The sequence below is a fragment of the Homo sapiens genome, chromosome 19 (assembly GCF_000001405.40).
Source record: "Homo sapiens chromosome 19, GRCh38.p14 Primary Assembly".
NCBI classification, from domain to species: Eukaryota; Metazoa; Chordata; class Mammalia; order Primates; family Hominidae; genus Homo; species Homo sapiens.
This window is the reverse complement of record NC_000019.10, coordinates 14,307,599-14,326,550: the sequence shown is the minus strand read 5'-3', so window position 1 is coordinate 14,326,550 and position 18,952 is coordinate 14,307,599. Positions and strand designations below refer to the sequence as shown.

The 18,952-nt window shown below is 50.1% G+C and overlaps 1 long non-coding RNA gene across 1 annotated transcript in view, besides 4 other annotated features; it reads left to right on the top strand.

Moving 5' to 3' along the window:
- Positions 1-18,952, top strand: part of LINC01841 (long intergenic non-protein coding RNA 1841) — a 58,533-nt gene that overhangs the window by 37,440 nt on the left and 2,141 nt on the right. Inside the window, exons 2-3 of the long non-coding RNA NR_134908.1 lie at positions 1,120-1,243; positions 6,200-6,311. This is a non-coding gene — a long non-coding RNA (long intergenic non-protein coding RNA 1841). The remainder of the gene's footprint in view (positions 1-1,119; positions 1,244-6,199; positions 6,312-18,952) is intronic.
- Positions 7,153-7,652: an enhancer, noted in NCBI's record as "H3K4me1 hESC enhancer chr19:14429711-14430210 (GRCh37/hg19 assembly coordinates)". NCBI's record gives its function as "activates a minimal SCP1, AML or CMV promoter by ChIP-STARR-seq in naive H9 embryonic stem cells {active_cell/tissue: H9 hESC(naive)}" and the evidence as "EXISTENCE:reporter gene assay evidence [ECO:0000049][PMID:30033119]".
- Positions 7,340-7,634: a silencer, noted in NCBI's record as "tiled region #12842; HepG2 Repressive non-DNase unmatched - State 13:Ctcf". NCBI's record gives its function as "represses a minimal TATA promoter and a strong SV40 promoter by Sharpr-MPRA in HepG2 cells {active_cell/tissue: HepG2}" and the evidence as "EXISTENCE:reporter gene assay evidence [ECO:0000049][PMID:27701403]".
- Positions 7,653-8,154: an enhancer, noted in NCBI's record as "H3K4me1 hESC enhancer chr19:14429209-14429710 (GRCh37/hg19 assembly coordinates)". NCBI's record gives its function as "activates a minimal SCP1, AML or CMV promoter by ChIP-STARR-seq in naive H9 embryonic stem cells {active_cell/tissue: H9 hESC(naive)}" and the evidence as "EXISTENCE:reporter gene assay evidence [ECO:0000049][PMID:30033119]".
- Positions 15,289-15,543: a silencer, noted in NCBI's record as "fragment chr19:14421820-14422074 (GRCh37/hg19 assembly coordinates)". NCBI's record gives its function as "represses an EF-1alpha promoter that drives an FKBP-Casp9 reporter gene in an ReSE screen in phorbol 12-myristate 13-acetate-treated (for megakaryocytic differentiation) K562 erythroleukemia cells {active_cell/tissue: K562(+PMA)}" and the evidence as "EXISTENCE:reporter gene assay evidence [ECO:0000049][PMID:32094911]".

Sequence of the window (18,952 nt, the reverse complement as noted above, 5' to 3'; positions counted from 1 at the left end):
TGGCTGGAGTGCAGTGGTGCGATCTCGGCTCACTGCAGACTCTGCCTCCCGGGTTCAAGTGATTCTCCTGCCTCAGTCTTCCAAGTAGCTGGGATTACAGGTGTGCACCACCACATCTGGCTAATTTTTCTATTTTTATTAGAGATGGGGTTTCCTTTTGTTGGCCAGGCTGGTCTTGAACTCCTGAACTCAAGTGATCTGCCCGCCTTGCCTCCCAAAGTGCCCAGATTATAGGTGTGAGTCACCGTGCCTGGACTGCTGGATTTAATTTAAATATACACCTACCATGCTCTCCTGTCTCCCTGGGGTGTGGGGCTCCATCACAAGCTTCTGGTTTTGCAGCCAGACTTTGCAACTTGGGGTCCTAGTTGTCCTCCTCTCATTTGAGCTGAACTGTCTGCATACAATTCCTTCCCCTCCCTGCCCCCCTCAAATTGCCATGGCTTTCACATCTTCCCAGGATCTCAGGAATTTTTTCAAGGACAGGAAATCCTCCTCCTGACCAAATATAGAACCAGAAAGCAGTCACCCATGTCTGCTCAGCTTGGACTTGGAGAGGTGGAGAACTGGGCTGGTGCACCACCCGCTGGGGCTTTCTTGTTCCTTATGCAGCTGCCTCTGGACAACCTTGATGGGCAGGGGGGCTGGGAACCCATGTCATGGGGGTGGGGGATGATCTTCAGCTCTGGAACACTGTCCTGCATCAATTACACCTTTGGGGGGCTTCTGACATCCATCCCAAACACCCCATCCATACATATACTAGCCACTGCATGCAGCCCAGCAGACCCCCACTCCAGTCCTCCTGTCGTTGAACTACAAAGTAATGAGGGGATCCAGCCACTATTCATGAAAGGTCTGTGAGTCTATATGTAACTGGGGAGCTTGCAGGCTGGCTGTGTGCTGAATGTTTTTCATTTGTCCCATTATGGACTGAATTGTGCCCCTCCAAATTAAAATGGTGAGGTCCTAACCCCCAATGTGACTATATTTGGACATAGGGCCTTTAAAGAGGTAATGAAAGTTACATGGGGTCATCAGGGTGAGGCCTTAATCCAATAAAACTGGTGTCCTTATAAGGAAAGGAAGAGATGCCAGAGATCTCTCTCTCTCTTCAAGCACACAGAGGAAAGGCCATGTGAGGACACAGCAAGAAGGCGGCCATCTGCAAGCCAAGAAGAGAGTCCTCACCAGGAACCAACTCTGCTGACACCTTGCTGTTGGACTTCCAGCCTCTATAAATGTGAGAAGGAAATTTCTGTTGTTTAAGCCACTCAGTCTATGGTATTTTCTTTGTTGTTGTCATTTTTGAGACAAAGTCTTGCTCTCTTGCCCAGACTGGAGTGCAGTGGCATGATCTCGGCTCACTACAACCTCCACGTCCTGGGTTCAAGCAATTCTCCTGCCTCAGCCTCCCAGGTAGCTGGGATTACAGGTGCCCAACACCATGCCCGGCTAATTTTTGTATTTTTAGCAGAGACGGGGTTTCACCATGTTGGCCATGCTGGTCTCGAACTCCTGACCTCAGGTGATCCACCTGCCTCGGCCTCCCAAAGTGCTAGGATTACAGGTGTGAGCTACTGCGCCCAGCCAATTTATCGTATTTTCTTATGGCAGCCTGTGATGTTTATTCTGCGTTATCAACTTAACTAAGGGGTACCCAGAGACCTGGTGAAACATGATTTCTGCCTGTGTCTGTGAGGCTTTCTGGAAGAGATTAGTGTTTGAATTAGTAGACTGAGGAAAGAAGATCCACCCTCCCTAATGTAGGTGGGCATCATCCAATCCATTGAGGACATGGCTAGAACCAAAAGGCAGAGGAAGGTTAAATTCATTCTCTCTGCTCCAGCTGGGACATCCGTTTTCTTCTGTCCTCAGATACTGGCAATCCTGGTTCTCAGGCCTTTGGTCTCGGACCCGGGACTTACCCCATCTGCTCTCCTGGTGTGCAGGCCTTTGAGTTTGGGCTGGAATCACACCACCAGCTTTCCTGAGTCTCCAGCTTGCAGATGGCAGATTGTAGGACTTCTCAGCCTCCATAAGTACATGAGTCAATCTCTCATAATAGATCTCCTTCTCTGTATCTATATATATCCTATTGGTTCTGTTTCTCTGGCGAGCCTTGACTAATACACAGTCCAAGCTGACGAAGACGTGCCCCTTGCATCAGTTCAGGTCCTCTGAGAAGCTGATGCTGAGATGGAGTTGAAAGTACAAGAGATTCGGCCAGGCACCGTGGCTCACGCCTGTAATCCCAGCACTTTGGGAGGCTGAGGCGGGCAGATCACGAGGTCAGGAGATCGAGACCATCCTGGCTAACACGGTGAAACCCCATCTCTACTAAAAATACAAAAAAATTAGCCGGGCGTGGTGGCGGACGCCTGTAGTCCCAGCTACTCGGGAGGCTGAGGCAGGAGAATGGCGTGAACCCAGGAGGTGGAGCTTGCAGTGAGCCAAGATCGCGCCGCTGCACTCCAGCCTGGGCGACACAGCAAGACTCCGTCTCAAAAAAAAAAAAAAAAAAAAGAAAGTACAAGAGATTCACGGGGGAGACACCCGTGAGTGACAGAGGGGCAGTGGGGCAGGAGCTGATCGGGACAGCCTTCAGACAGTGATGGAAGTCTGAAGTCTTTGCATGCAGAGGGGAATAAGGAAAACTGAGCGGTGTATCTTTGGGATATGGGCCACTCTTCATCTTCTTCCGCCCTGTTCCATGCCTAGGAGGCTGATATGTAAGAACCCATTGCCAGGCACAGTGCCTCACGCCTGTAATCCCAGCACTTTGAGAGGCTGAGGCAGGTGGATCACTTGAGGTCAGGAGTTTGAGACCAGCCTGGCCAACATGGAGAAATCCCAGCTCTACTAAAAATACAAAAATTAGCCGGGCGTGGTGGCACATGCCTGTAATCCTAGTTACTCGGGAGGCTGAGGCAGGAGAATGACTTGAACCCTGGGGGCAGAGGTTGCAGTGAGCTGAGATCGCACCACTTCACTCCAACCTAGGTGACAGAGTAAAACTCTGTCTCAAACAAACAAACAACAACAACAACAAAACCTGAAAATTAGCCAGGAGTGGTGGCCCATGCCTGTAATCCCAGCTACTCTGGAGGCTGAGGCAGAAGAATGGCTTGAACCCAGGAGGCGGAGGTTGCGGTGAGCCGAGATGATGCCATTGCACTCCAGCTTGGGAGACAGAGTGAGACTCTGTCTCAAAAGCAAACAAACAAACAAAGAACCCATTAATAGCTCCCTTGTCCTCTGGCTTCAGTTAGGTTCAGCCAATAGAAAGCCTCAAAAGAAGGTTAGAAGGCAGAGGAGAGAGGTGGGGAGCATTGACTCTCCGCTTCCTCCCTGTGTGGTTGCCTGCGTCCCTGCAGTCTGGAGACATTTAGGGTTGTTGCGACTTGGGATCCTGCTAAACATCCACCAATGCACAGGACAGGACCCCCCAACAAAGAATGGCCCAGCCCCAAATGTCAGCAGTGCTCAGGTCAAGAAACTCCAGCCTGGGCAACATAGCAAGACTCTGTCTCTAAAAAAAAAAAAAAAAAAAAAAATTAGCCAGGCCTGGTGGCGTGCATCTGTAGTCCTAGCTACTCCAGAGGCTGAAGTGGGAAGATAGCATGAGCCCAGGAGTTTGGGGCTGCAGTGAGCTCTGATTGCACCATTGCACTCCAGCCTGGGTGATAGAGCAAGACCGAAAGAAGAAAGAAAGAAAGGAGAGAGAGACAGAGAGAAAGAAAGAAAAATAGAAAGAAAGAAGGAAAGAAAAAAGAAAGAAAGAAAGAGAGAAAGAAAGAAAGAAAGAAAGAAAGAGAAAGAAAAAAAAGAGAGAAATAAAGGAAGGAGGGAAGGAGGAGAGGAAAGGAAGGAAGGAAGGAGAGAGGAAGGGTCAGGTTTGGTGGCTCACAACTGTAATCACAGCCCTTTGGGATGCCAAGACGAGTGGATCACCTGAGGTCAGGAGTTCAAGATCAGCCTGGCTAACATGGTGAAATCCCGTCTCTGCTAAAAATACAAAAATTAACCAGGTGTGGTGGTACATGCCTGTAATCCCAGCTACTCGGGAGGCTGAGGTAGGAGAACCACTTGAACCCGGGACGCAGAGGTTGCAGTGAGCTGAGATCATGCCACTGCACTCCAGCCTGGGTGACAGAGCGAGACTCTGTTTAAAAAAAAAAAAGAGAGAGCAAAAGAGAGAAAGGAAAAGAGAGGAAAGAAACCCCTGCTCTAGAGGTACAGGAACCAAATACTCCCTTCCTGAAGCCTCACAACACTGTATTAGAGGCAGGCACTAATATATACCCATTTCACAGAAGGGAAAACTGAGGCTCCAGGAGGGAAAGTGACAGGGCCAAGCTCAGACAGCTGAGCTGGGTGCTCACACTGCTCTTGAGCACACAAGACTTAGTGTTTGATAGATCAGTAGGGTGACTACAGTAAACAGTAATCCATTATACATTTCAAAATAGCTAGGAGAGGCCAGACATGGTGGCTCATGCCTGTAATCCCAGCGCTTTGGGAGGCAAAGGCAGTCGGATCACCTGAGGTCAGGAGTTCGAGACCAGCCTGGCCAACATGGTGAAACCCTGTCTCTACTAAAAATACAAAAATTAGCCAGGCGTGGTGATGCTTGCCTGTAATCCCAACTACTCGGGAGGCTGAGGCAGGAGAATGGCTGGAACCCGGGAGGTGGAGGTTGCAGTGAGCTGAGATCGCACCATTGCACTCCAGACTGGGCAGCAAGAGCAAAGCTCTGTCTCGAAAAAAAAAAAAAAAAAAAAGGTAGGAGAGCTATTTTGAGCATTCCTAGCATAAAGAAAAGATAAACCTTTAAGATGATGGATACTGCAATTACCCTGATTTGATCTCTACACATGATATGAATGTATCAAAATATCACGTACCCTGAAAATATGTACCTCTATTATGAATCAGTTTTAAAAATCCATAAAAGCCGGGTGTGGTAGTGTATGCCTGTAGTCTCAGCTACTTGAGAGGGTGAGGTGGGAGGATCGTTTGTGCCAGGAGGTTGAGACCAGCCTGGGTAACAATGCAAGACCCTTTCTCTACAAAAACTAAAAAACTTAGCCGGCTATGGTGGAGCGTGCCAGTAGTCTCAGTTACTCCAGAGTCTAAGGCGGGAGGATCCCTTGAGTCCAGGAGTGTGAGGCTGGAGTGTGCTATGATCACACTACTACACTCCAACCTGGGTGACAGCAAGACCCCGTCCCTAAAAAAAAAAAAGAAAAAGGAAAAAAAAAAAAGGCAACTGAGCATGGTGGCTCACACCTGTAATCCCAGCACTTTGGGAGGCCAAGACAGGCGGATCACCTGAGATCAGGAGTTCGAGACCAGCCTGGCCAACATGGTGAAACCCCATTCGTACTAAAAATGCAAAAATTAGCCAGGTGTGGTGGCGCGCGCCTGTAATCCCAGCTACTCGGGAGGCTGAGGCAGGAGAATCACTTGAACCTGGGAGGCGGAGGTTGCAGTGAGCCGAGATCGCATCACTGCACTGCAGCTTTGGCAACAAGAGCAAAACTCTGTCTCAAAAAAAAAGAGGCAGCAAAGATAGCAGTGGGTAGGGGTCCCCATGTCGCCACTTGGACAAACTCTTGGTTTCCCAGCAGGGGCCCTGGATGGGGTCTATGCAGAATGGGTGGGGACAGCTCAGTTATCAGTATCTGATGGAAGAGCATCCCCAGCAGAGGTCCCAGGGAGTAGAATGGCCCCAGGATGGAAGGAAGACAGGGAGACTGGCTTCACCCTCTTACTTGTCTTCCCTTCCTCCTAATCCCAAACTGGAGAAAGGGTCAACTCCAGGCCAGGAGATTCCACCCCACGGTATACTTGAGCTGGGTCAAAGTGGCTCACAAGAGTCATTTCATTATGCAATCTCTTCCTAAGTTGGGATTCAGTGGCATCACACTCATAGCTTGAATTCAGCCAAGGGGGAAGAATTTACACCATGGAAATTGGCAAACACTACAAATTGGGTCTCCTCTCTGCAGCTGGCTTACCGGCTCATCATTGATTACACCCATCTGGACACCACCTCACAATCCCCTTGCCCCCTCAAACTTCCCCCACCCTGTCAAGGAAATCTTACATTCACAGCTTGAAGTCAGCCAAGGTGGCAGAATTTACACCGCTGGAATTGGCAAACACTACAAATCCTCTTCTCTCCCCACAACAGGTTCACAAGCACACCACTGTTTACACCCATCTAGAAGGCCCCTCCCAGCTGACATCTTTCTGCCTACCTTTCAGGAAGACAGACGAAACTCTCTGCCTTCAGGTGGGGCAAGGTAGGTGGCCAGTCTGATGAGAGAGGCGGATGACAAACATCATGACAGAGGGTGATGAAGAAATCTCAAACAGAAAACTATAGCAGAAGCTGGGCACAGTGGCTGACACCCGTAATCCCAGCACTTTGGGAGGCCGAGGCAGGAGGATCGCTTGAGCCCAGGAGTTTGAGACCAGCCTGGGCAACATAGGGAGACCCCATCTCTACAAAAATTAAAAGATTAGCTGAGCGTGGTGGTGCACACTTGTAGTCCCAGCTACTTGGGAGGCTGAGGCAGGAGGATGGATTGAGACCAGGAGTTGGAGGCTGCAGTGAACTATGATTGCACCACTGCACTCCAGCCTGGGCAGCAGAGTGAGATCCTGTCTCTAAAATCAAAGAAATAAAGAAAACAGCCAGGCACGGTGGCTCACACCTGTAATCCCAGCATTTTGGGAGGCCGAGACTGGCAGATCACCTGAGGTCGGGAGTTCAAGACCAGACTTACCAACATGGAGAAACCCTGACTCTACTAAAAATACAAAATTAGCCGGGTGTGGTGGCGTGTGCCTGTAATCCCAGCTACTCTGGGGGCTGAGGCAGGAGAATCGCTTGAACCCAGGAGGCAAAGGTTGAGGTGAGCCAAGATTGCGCCATTGCACTTCAGCCTGGGGAAGAAGAGTGAAACTCTGTCTCAAAAATAAATAAATAAATAAATAGAAAACAACAGCAGGGAGAGGGTAGGGGGAAAAGCAAGAGACAGGGGCTGCCATTTCAGATTGAGGGGCAGGGAAAACCCCTCTCCCCGCATTGTGCAGACCCCAGTATCTTCCTGCCCCCTTCCTGCCCCCATTCACCACATTATTGCATGTCCCGATCTTGTTTTTCATCCCTTCCCTCCCCTCCTATCCCCCTGAGTCCTTCCAGAGGCTCTTGCTCAGCTGCTCCTAAGGTCTGTCCTGCTCCCTGGAATTTTTGTCATGCAGAAATTTCTCAGCCCGGAGCTCATTTCTGCCCACTTAACTCATCTTTCACCTGAAATTGGCTTTGCTGCCTGCTCCGGGAGTGTCTTTGCTGCTGTTGGAACGATGCACATGGGTAGTGACTCGAAGGTCACCCTGTCCTTTCGGGAGCCCCGTGGTCACTGCCTGCTCTCCGTCCACCTCACCGTAACACCACGGCCACTGGGGGGCCTCCTTCGGCTGGTGCCTGCTCAACGGGGAACCCCCAACCCCAGCCAGGGCTTATCCACTGCGAAGGAAGGTGGGGTCTAGCTGACTCCAAGTGGGTGGGGAGGGCACCCAATACATATCCTGTGGTCCAGCCTGCTTTGCTCTGCCTCAGTTTCCCCATCTGCTCATCTCAGCAACTCCCAGGGGAGCCTCTGGGGAAGAATTTCCAGACATACAAGAATGAGGCAGAGGCCGGGTGCAGTGGCTCACGCCTGTAATCCCAGCACTTTGGGAGGCCGAGGCGGGCAGATCACCTGAGGTCAGGGGTTCAAGACCAGCCTGGCCAACATGGTGAAACCCTGACTCCACTAAAAATACAAAAATTAGCCAGGTGTGGTGGCACGCGCCTGTAATCCCAGCTACTTGGGAGACTGAGGCAGGAGAATTGCTTGAACCCGGGAGGTGGAGGTTGTGGTGAGTGGAGATTGTGCCACTGCACTCCAGCCTGGGCAATAAGAGCGAAACTCTGTCTCAAAAATAATAATAATGAAGCAGAACTCATCCTCATACCACAGCCCAAATGGGTCTAGGAGATCAGGAAATTCTAAATCTTTCTCAGATCAACACCCCAGTTAGCCTGGGCCCATGAATATTGACGATTCCTGCTGAACTTGGATAGAGACCACTTCCATTCTCCCTGTGGCTGGGAACACACTTGCCCAAATATATATATATATATATGTGTGTGTGTATATATATATATGTGTATATATATATATATATGTATATATATGTGTGTGTATATATGTGTATGTATACACATATATATGTATATATGTATATGTGTGTATATGTATATGTATATATGTATATGTGTATATATGTATATGTCTATATATGTATATGTCTATATATGTATATATGTATATATTTATGTTTTTATATATATGTATGGTGTGTGTGTGTGTGTGTGTGTGTGTATATATATATATATATATATATATATATATATTTTTTTTTTTTTTTTTTTTTTCCCCAGAGACAGGGTCTTGCTGTATCACCCAGGCTGGAGTGCAGAGGCACAATCTAAGCTCACTACAGCCTCAAACTCCAGGGTTCAAGCCATCCTCCTACCTCAGCCTCCAGAGTAGCTGGGACTACAGGCACACGCTACCACGCCAGGCTAATTTTTAAATTTTTTTGTAGAGATAGGGTCTTGCTATCTTTCTCAGGCTGATCTCCAACTTCTGGCCTCAAGCGATCCTCCTGCCTCAGCCTCCCAAAGTGCTGGGATTATAGGCATGAGCCACTGTGCCTGCCATCCCCCTTCCCCAAATCTTACAGACACCCAGCTACCTTTGCAGGGGGGCCTCTCCCCTGCTGTGGCTTTGCCCCGCAACACCCACCCCAGCCAATCCTCACCCACCTAGACTCCCACCATCAAAGCCAGCAGGCATGGCTCCTGTTTATAGATTGGTGTCAGGGGGTGGGAGAGAGGTTGGCAAGTTTTAAAAGCTCATTAAGGCCTGAATTCTTTTTATAGATGGAGTTTTCTGCGTCTTTTACTCCACACCCCCTCCAACCCTCCCCGAATTCTGAACGCCGTATTTATTTGAGTTAGAAAAATAATGAGGTCCCTGAGGTCGTACACAACACATCGGCTCTCTAATCAAAGTATGGCTGTGGAATTAAAAATATATGGGAAGCTGTGTTTGTGCGCGTGCCGCCGGCCGTGGACGCGGAACACACTCGCCCGTCACCACCCAGACCCCACCAGATGGGCTCCGGGGCAGAGATATAATTAGCTCTTTTCCAGCAAAGTCTCTGGGTGGAGAATGGGATTGAATTGCTCATGGTCCTCGCCAGTGGGGACTCGGGGAAGGAGTGCCGTCCACTAGAGCGGACTTAGGTGCTGGATCCCACCAGACGTGGATGTGGTTATGGGTGGGGCCTCAGGGAACAGGGGTCCCAGGTGTAGAGGCCAGGTTAGGTGTAGAGGGCAAGGAGACTATCAGAGAGGAAGTCCCCTGGGGTGCACCCAGCCTGAGAGGCCCAGACTCCACTGTTTTTGGGTTTTAATTTAATTTAATTTTTTTTTTTTTTTGAGACAGAGTCTTGCTCTTGTCACCCAGGCTGGAGTGCAGTGGCTCGATCTTGGCTCACTGCAACCTCTGCCTCCCAGGTTCAAGCCAATTCTCCTGCCTCAGCCTCCTGAGTAGGTGCGATTACAGGTGCCCGCCACCATGCCTGGCTAATTTTTGTACTTTTAGTAGAGACGAGTTTTCACCATGTTGGCCAGGCTGGTCTCTAACACCTGACCTCAGGCAATCTGCTCACCTCAGCCTCCCAAAGTGCTGGGATTACAGGCGTGAGCCACTGCGCCTGGCAAATTTAATTTAATTTATTTTGGGACAGAGTTTCTCTCTGTCACCCAGGCTGGAGTGCAGTGGCGCGATCTTAGTTCATTGTAGCCTGCAACTCCTGAGTTTAAACAATCCTCCCGCTTTAGCCTCCCAAGTAGGTGGGACTACGGTTATGCCAACATGCCCAGCTGGTTTTCTTTGTTATTTTTATTTTATTTTGTTTTCAGAGATGGAGTCTCACTCTGTCACCCAGTTGGAGTGCAGTGGTGCAATCTTGGCTCACTGCAACCTCTATCTCCTGAGTTCAAGCAATTCTTTTTTTTTTTTCTGAGACAGAGTTTTGCTCATATTGCCCAGGCTGGAGTGCAGTGGTGCGAACTCGGCTCACTGCAACCTCAGCCTCCCGGGTTCAAGCAATTCTCCTGCCTCAGCCTCCCAAGTAGCTGGAATTACAGGCATGCGCCTCCATGCCCGACTAATTTTGTATTTTTGGTAGAGACGGGGTTTCACCATGTTGGTCAGGCTGTGCTCGAACTCCTGATCTCAGGTAATCCGCCCACCTCGGCCTCCTGAAGTGCTGGGATTACAGGTGTGAGCCATCACGCCCAGCTGGGTTCAAGCAACTCTCCTGCCTCAGCCTCTTGAGTAGCTGGGATTACAGGTGTGCACCACCACGCCCAGCTAATTTCTGTATTTTTAGTAAAAACAGCATTTTACCATGTTGGCCAGGCTGGTCTCAAACTCCTGACCCACAAATGATCCGCCCACCTCAGCCTACCAAAGTGTTGGGATTACAGGTGTGAGTCACTGCGCCCGGCCCAATTTAATTTTTTAAATTTTGTGTAGAGATGGGGTCTTGCTATGTTGCCCAGATTTGTCTTGAACTCCTGGGCTCCAGCGAATCCTCCTGCCTCGGCTTCCCAAAGTGTTGAGATTGCAGTCATGAGCCACTGGGCTCAGCTCTTTTTTTCCCCCTTTATATCCCTTGTTGAGGCTTCTCTCTGTCACACATGCACATCCATACTTTTGTTTATGTCTGACTCTCCACTGGACATCAGCCCCATGTAGGTGGGGATTTCTGTCTTGGGTGCTGTGGTGCCCCCAGTGGCGTGGACAGAGTGGGACACACAGAAACCGCTGGATCTAATATACAAGATGAGCCGGTTGCAGTGGTTCACGCCTGTAATCCCAGCACTTTGAGAGGCTGAGGCGGGTGGATCACTGGAGGTCAGGAGTTCGAGACCAGCCTGGCCATCATGGCGAAACCCCGTCTCTACTAAAAATACAAAAATTACGGTGGCTTACGCCTGTAATCCCTGCACTTTGGGATGCCGAGTCGGGCAGATCCTAGGTCAGGAGATCGAGACCATCCAGGCCAACATGGTGAAACCCCGTCTCTACTAAAAATACAAAAATTCGCTTGGCATGGCAGTGCGTGCCTGTAATCCTAGCTACTCGGGAGGCTGAGGCAGAATTGCTTGAATCTGGGAAGTGGAGGTTGCAGTGAGCTGAGATTGTGCCACTGCACTCCAGCCTGGCAACAGAGCTAGACTCCATCAAAAAAAAAAAAAAAAAAATCAGGCCTGACACAGTGGCTCATGCGTGTAATCCCAGCACTTTGGGAGGCTGAAGCAGGCAGATTACCTGAGGTCAGGAGTGGGAGAACAGCCTGACCAATATGGTGAAACCCCGTTTCTACTAAAAATACAAAAATTAGCTGGGTGTGGTGGCGCACACCTGTGGTCCCGGCTACCAGGGAGGCTGAGGCAGGGGAATCGCTTGAACTCGGGAGGCAGAGGTTGCAGTGAGCCGAGATGGTGTCACTGCATTGCAGCCTAGGTGACAGAGTGAGACTCTGTCTCAAAATAATAATAACATGCAAGATGAATCAATGAATGAACAAAAAGCAAAGAATCTCAGGCACCCTCATCACTCCAGGCTTGGAGCCATTCCTTTGTCTGGGAGGGTTTTCCTGGTCCTCCTCATCCCGGAGACCCAGGGGGTGCTGGCGTTGAGGGGTTCTGGTTTTCAAAGGGTGATCCTCTCTCTAAATGGGGCTAGTCATGAAGCAGAGGGATTTGGGGCATCTTCGGGCCCCTGCTCCCCTCCCACCCAGCCTCCCCTTCTGCACTCCCCTCCTGCTCAGGCCACAGCAGCAGCAGTAGGTGACATCTGGAGAGTCTTCAGGCAGCTTTGGGAGGGGGCGAAGGCAGAGGAGGCCACGGGTGTTTGCAGAATGTGTGTGTGTACGCATGTGTGTGAGAATGTGTGAGACTGTGAGACTGTGAGTGTGAGTGCCTATAGGTGTGAGCATGTGGTTGTGTGTTCCTGTGTGAATGTGTGAGTCTGCATTTGTGCAACAATGTGTGTGATGTGAAGGGTATGAGACTTGTGAAGATGGATGTGTGTGAGGCTGTGGGGCTGTGTGAGGGTGGGTGGGAGTGTGTGAGGCTGGGGGGCTGTGAGGATGCGTGTGAGTGTGCAAGGCTGTGGGGCTGTGTGAGGGTGGGTGGGAGTGTGCGAGGCTGTGGGGCTGTGTGAGGGTGGGTGGGAGTGTGCGAGGCTGTGGGGCTGTGTGAGGGTGGGTGGGAGTGTGCAAGGCTGTGGGGCTGTGTGAGGATGAGTGTGTGAGACCATGTATGAGCATGCGTGTGACTGTGTGAGTGTGACAGAGCATAAGTGTGAGTGTTGAGTGTGAGTGTATGTCCTGGGGACAGGGCCCCTGTTTGCTGAGAATGCACGTGTGCTCCAGGCCTGGCCGCCGTTCTCTTCCACCCTGCTCCTCCTGCCCTAAGTTCTCTCCTTTCACACTTCACACCAGGGTTACTTCTCTCCCCTCCCAAATTCCCTTTTTTTTTTTTTTTTTTTTTTGAGGCAGAGTCTTGCTCTGTCACTCAGGCAGCGGCGCCATCTCGGCTCACTGCAACCTCCACCTCGTGGGTTCAAGCGATTCTCTTGCCTCAGCCTCCTGAGCAGCTGGGATTACAGGTACCTGCCACCATGCCTGGCTAATTTTTGTATTTTTAGTAGAGACGGGGTTTCACCATGTTGGCCAGACTGGTCTCGAACTCCTGACCTCAGGTGATCTACCTGCCCTAGCTCCCCAAAGCGCTGGGATTACAGGCGTGAGCCACCATGCCCGGCCCCCTCCAGAATTCTTATTCCCTTTGTTGGCCCCATTCCTGTCTCTCTCCCTAGCCAGGGCAAAGAGGCTGAGGGAGAGGAAGTCCTGAGCAGCCTCAGGAGACCTCTGCGGGCCCGAAGGAGGTCACTGGGATCCCCCAGCGCAAGCCAGGTCACCAGGCCAGGGATCCGCAGGAGAACCTGGGCCTGGGGCTAGGGGGCTCAGAGGCTGAGGCTGTTTCCACCAGCAGATCTTCCCACCCTCTCTGTCCACAGACACCCAGTAGAGGGGGAACCGAGAGAGAGGTTCCGGGTGGTGCAGCAGGGGACCGGACGGGAGAACCCTCTGACCCTCTGCACTGGCGGTTCCCAAGCCTGGCTGCACCTGAAAGTCACCCTGGGGAGCTTTAAAATGTTTCTGGCAGGGTGCGGTGGCTCACGCCTGTAATCCCAGCACTTTGGGAGGCCAAGGTGGGCAGATCACCTGAGGCTGGGAGTTCGAGACCAGCCTGGCCAACATGCTGAAACCCCATCTCTACTAAAAATACAAAAATTAGCTGGGTGCGGTGGTGTGCGCCTGTAATCCCAGCTACTCGGGAGGCTGAGGAAGGAGAATGGCTTGAACTGGGAGGAGGAGGTTGCAGTGAGCCGAGATCGTACCACTGCACTCCAGCCTGGGTGACAGAGTGAGACTCCGTCTCAAAAAAATAAGTAGCTGGGCGCGGTGGCTCACGCCTGTAATCCCAGCACTTTGGGAGGCCAAGATGGGCGGATCACAAGGTCAGGAGATCGAGACCATCCTGGCTAACACAGTGAAACCCCGTCTCTACTAAAAATACAAAAAAAAAAAATTAGCCAGGCATAGTGGTGGGCGCCTGCAGTCCCAGCTACTCGGGAGGCTGAGGCAGGAGAATGGCTTGAACCCAGGAGGCAGAGCTTGCAGTGAGCCAAGATCGTGCCACTGCACTCCAGCCTGGACGACAGAGCAAGACTCTGTCTCCAATAAATAAATAAATAAATAAATAAAAAGTAAACAAACAAATAAAAAGTAAACAAATAAATAAATAAGATGTTTCTGATGTCCTGGCACCCCTGCCCCCACCCCGGCTGCGGCTCCTGTCCGAGGCAGAGCCTAGGCACTAGGGAAATTTGGAACCAGACCATTCACTGTCTGTTTTGGGAGCTATCGTAGGATCCCCGGCCTCCACCCCGAGATGCCAGTAACAATCCCCGCCTCCAGTTGTGACCACTAAGTACGTCTCTAGATGGTCCCCATGGGAGACAGAATCATCCCGGGTGACAATTTCTGGGCTAGACGGAGAAGTGAGCCACCAATGGGCCCCATAATATAGCCCATTACACGGCCTCCCAATCCCCAGGAAGCTCTGGTCTCTGGGGGACTTTCTTTCTTTCTTCAGTTGGGGTCTTGCTCTGTTGCCCAGGCTGGTCTCGAACTCCTGGGCTCAAGAGATCTTCCCAAGTAGCTGGGATTATAGGAGCGCACCAACACGCCAGGCTCCTTGGGGAGACATTCTTTTTTCTTTTTTTTTTTTTTTTGAGACAGACTCTCGCTCTGTCTCTCAGGCTGGAGTGCAGTGGCGCAATCTCAGCTCACTGCAGCCTCCGTCTCCCAGGTTCAAGTGATTCTCCTGCCTCAGCCTCCCATGTAGCTGGGACTACAGGCGCCCACCACCACACCCGGCTAATTTTTTGTATTTTTAGTAGAGACGGAGTCTCACCGTGTTAGCCGGGATGGTCTCCATCTCCTGACCTCGTGATCCGCCCGCCTCGGCATCCCAAAGTGCTAGGATTACAGGCGTGAGCCACCGCGCCTGGCTCCAACTCCTATTTCTAATCATATCACACTCCTGTCCCCCGCTCCAGCCTCTCTAAATTCTCTCCTCCCCTCTACAGCCAAGATGATCCTATTCACTTTTTTTTGTTTGTTTAATTTTAGAGACAGAATCTTGTTCTGTCACCCAGGCTGGAGTGCAGTGAGGCAAGCATAGCTGGAGTGCAGTGGTGCAATCATAGCTCACTGTAGCCTCAACCTCCTGGGCTCAAGTGATCCTCCTGCCTCAGCCTCCTGAGTAGCTGGGACCACAGGTACACGCCACCACACACCACACCCAGCTAATTATTTTTATTTTTTGTAGAAATGGGGTCTTGCTATGTTGCCCAGGCTGGTCTCAAACTCCTGGGCTCAAGGGATCCTCCTCCCTCGGCTTCCAAAAGTGCTAGGATTACAGGTGTGAGCCACCACACCCAGCCTCAAAAAAAATTTAAATATGGCGGGGCCCGGTGGCTCACACCTGTAATCCCAGCACTTTGGGAGGCCGAGGCGGATGGATCGCTTGAGGTCAGGAGTTTGAGACCAGCCTGACCAACATGGTGAAACCTCGTCTCTACTAAAAATACAAAAATTAGCCAGGCATAGTGGTGTGTGCCTGTAATCCCAACTACTTGGGAGGCTGAGGCAGGAGAACCACTTGAACCTAGGAGGTGGAGTTGAAGTGAGTTGAGGTCACACCACTCTACTCCAGCCTGGGCAACAGAACAAGACTCTGTCTCAAAAAAATATAAATAAAAATGAAGATTCGGCCGGACGCGGTGGCTCACGCCTGTAATCCCAGCACTTTGGGAGGCCAAGGAAGGTGGATCACCTGAGGTCAGGAGTTCCAGACCAGCCTAGCCAATATGATGAAACCCCGTCTCTACTAAAAATACAAAAAATTAGCCGGGCGTGGTGGCAGGCACCTGTAATCCCAGCTACTTGGGAGGCTGAGGCAGGAGAATCACTTGAACTCAGGAGGCGGAGGTTGCGGTGAGCCGAGATCGCGCCATTGCACTCCAGCCTGGACAACAAGAGCGAAACTCCATCTCAAAAAAAAAAAAAAGAAGGTTTGATGGTTCAAATAATTTTGGCAGTCTCTGAGTTATGGGGTGATCTCTAGTTGTCCATACCTGACTCTGGGGTGATTTAGGCAGGAGGAATATTGTCTTGGTGTGTCAGAGTTTGATAAAGGAGATAGTTGGGGGTTGGGCTCTGGACTGCTTGGTTTGTATATTAAACATACGCTCACAGCTGTGTTGTTTGCTATCTCTAGGAATTAGCTAGCCCTGGGAGGAGCAGTCTCTCCAGGATCAGTAAGCCTCCAAATGTCAAAGCATCATAAAATTCAGAAAATAAAAAAACGTAATGAATACAAACAGCGGCCTGGCACTGTGGCTCATGCCTGTAATTCCAACACTTTGGGAGGCTGGGATGGGAGAATCGTGAGACAAGCCTGGGCAACATATTGTCCCATGGGGGTTGCGGATGGACTTGTTTAAATAAAACTAGTTTAAAGAAAAGGGAACTTATTTATATAGCTCTAGTGTTGGCCATTAGGTTTCACTGTGGTTGGCAGTTGTGGGATGTGTTATGTTTTGGGTTAGTAGGATGAGGAACAAGTGAACTACATCACAAACAACCACACAGAAAGGGAAAGTTGGTGGGGTTTTTTTTGGGTTTTTTTTGTTTTTTGTTTTTAGATGGAGTTTCGCTCTTGTTGTCCAGGCTGGACTGCAATGGCACCATCTTGGATCACTGCAACTTACACCTCCCAGGTTCAAGTGATTCTCCTGCCTCAGCCTCCCAAGTAGCTGGGATTACAGGCACCCGCCACCATGCCTGGCTAATTTTTTTGTATTTTTTAGTAGAGACAGGGTTTCACCATGTTGGCCAGACTGGTCTCAAACTCCTGACCTCAGGTGATCCGCCCGCCTCGGCCTCCCAAAGTGCTGGGATTACAGGCGTGAGCCACTGCACCCAGCCAAGAAGGGGAAGTTTTTGTTGTTGCCATTTGGTTGGTTGGTTTTGTTTATTTGTGTTTGTTTTTGTTTGTTTGTTTTTGAGACAGAGTCTCACACTGTAATCCAGGCTGAAGTGCAGTGGTGCCATCTCAGCTCACTGCAACTTCCATCTCCTGGGTTCAAGCATGAGCCATTGCACCCCACCAGGAAGAGGAAGTTGTTTTTTTGGTTTTTTTGGTTTTTGTTTTTTTTGAGACAGAATCTCGCTCTGTCTCTCAGGCTGGAGTGCAGTGGCGCAATCTCGGCTCGCTGCAACCTCCGTCTCCCAGGTTCAAGTGATTCTCCTGCCTCAGCCTCCTGTGTAGCTGGGACTATAAGCGCCCACCACCACGCCTGGCTAATTTTTTTTTGTATTTTTAGTAGAAACAGGATTTCACTGTGTTAGCCAGGATGGTCTTGATCTCCTGACCTCGTGATCCGCCCGTCTCGGCCTCCTAAAGTGCTGGGATTCAGGCATGAGCCATGGCGCCCGGCCAGGAAGGGGAAGTTTTAACTAAGCCAAAAGTGATGGGATACAACTGTGCTTCAAACAACTTAGGTCAGGCCTAAAAATGGCTGCTGAGGCAGCAACTAGATTAAACAAATCTATGAAGAGATGGACAAAAACAGACTCCTGGTGACATGATCTCAGCATCTGGATCCAGCCACACCTGAAGATATACTGCTTCTTTACATTTTTCAGTTGTGTGAGCAAATCTCTTCTCTTTAAAAAAAAATTTTTTTTTTCAGGCTGGGCGCGGTGGCTTACACCTGTAATCCCATCACTTCGGGAGGCCACAGCAGGTGGATCACTTCAGGCTAATAATTTGAGACCAGCCTGGGCAACCTGCTGAAACTCTGTCTCCACTAAAAATACAAAAATTAGCCAGGTGTGGTGGCACATACCTGCAATCTCAGCTACTCGGGAGGCTGAGAATCGCTTGAACCTAGGAGGCAAAATTTGCAGTGAGCCGAGACTCTGTCTCAAAAAAACAAATTTCAGAGACAGGGTCTTGCTCTGTTGTCCAGGCTGGAGGGGCAGTGACATCAGTCATAGCTCACTGTAGCCTCGAACTTTTGGGTTCAAGGGATCCTCTGGTCCCAGCCTCCTGAGTATCTAAGACTACAGTTGCTCTCCACATTGCCCAGCTAATTAAAAAAAGATCTTTTGATAGAAACAGAATCTTGCTATATTGCTCAGGCTAGTCTCAAACTCCTGGGCTCCAGTGATCCTCCTGCCTCAGCCTCCGAAAGTGCTGGGATTACAGGAATGAGCCACCATGCTCAGCCTCTTCTCTTCTTAATTAGTTGTGGCAGGTAAGGATTCTCTTATGTGCTAACAACAACAAAAATGTTCTGTCTGCTGCAACCCCAGCTGTAATCTCCCCTAACCAGAAAGGTGTACATTTTTCAGTTGTATGAGCGAATCTCTTCTCTTTGAAAAAAAAGGAGCACCTGTCTTTACTCCATTGGATTAATCATCCACCCTCCCACTTCAGGCCTCACCTCTATCAGAAAGGAAGATGAAAATCCCTACACAAGCTAACATAAACAATAATAATAGTCACCATTTCACAGAACAATAAATTCAGGGTTAGGGAAGCTCTAGCGGTTAATTCAGTGGCCTCATGATACCATCAACCAGGTTCTTTCTGTCTGTCCAGTCCACCTTCCCCAGCATCTCAGCTTTGTCCTAAGGGTATTCCCTCCTCATGGTCCCAAGACAGCTTCCAAGACTCCAGCCATCACATGCAGAAATAGCAGATTCCAGAGGAAGAAGAGGCCTTCTAGAAGGAAGGAAGTCCTTCCTGGTACTTGCCTTCAGTTCTCCCTAACCTGAAATCTGTCATGTGGTGTCTTGATTTGAGGCCTCCCAGAAGTCGATCCAGGAGTAAGAATTTGAGTGCAAGCAGTTTATCTGGGATGGAACTGAACTGTGCATGCCCCTCCAAATTCACATGTTAAAGTCCTAACCCCTAGTGTGGCTGTATTTAGAGATGGAGCCTTTAGGTAATTAGATAGAGGTAATTAAGGTTAATCGAGGTCATAAGGGTGGGGCCCTTGTTCAATAGGATTGGTGTCCTTAGAAGAAGAGACAACACAGAGCCCACTCTTTTTCCCCGTGTGCACTCTGAGGAAAGGCCACAGGAGGATGCATTGAGAAGGCGGCT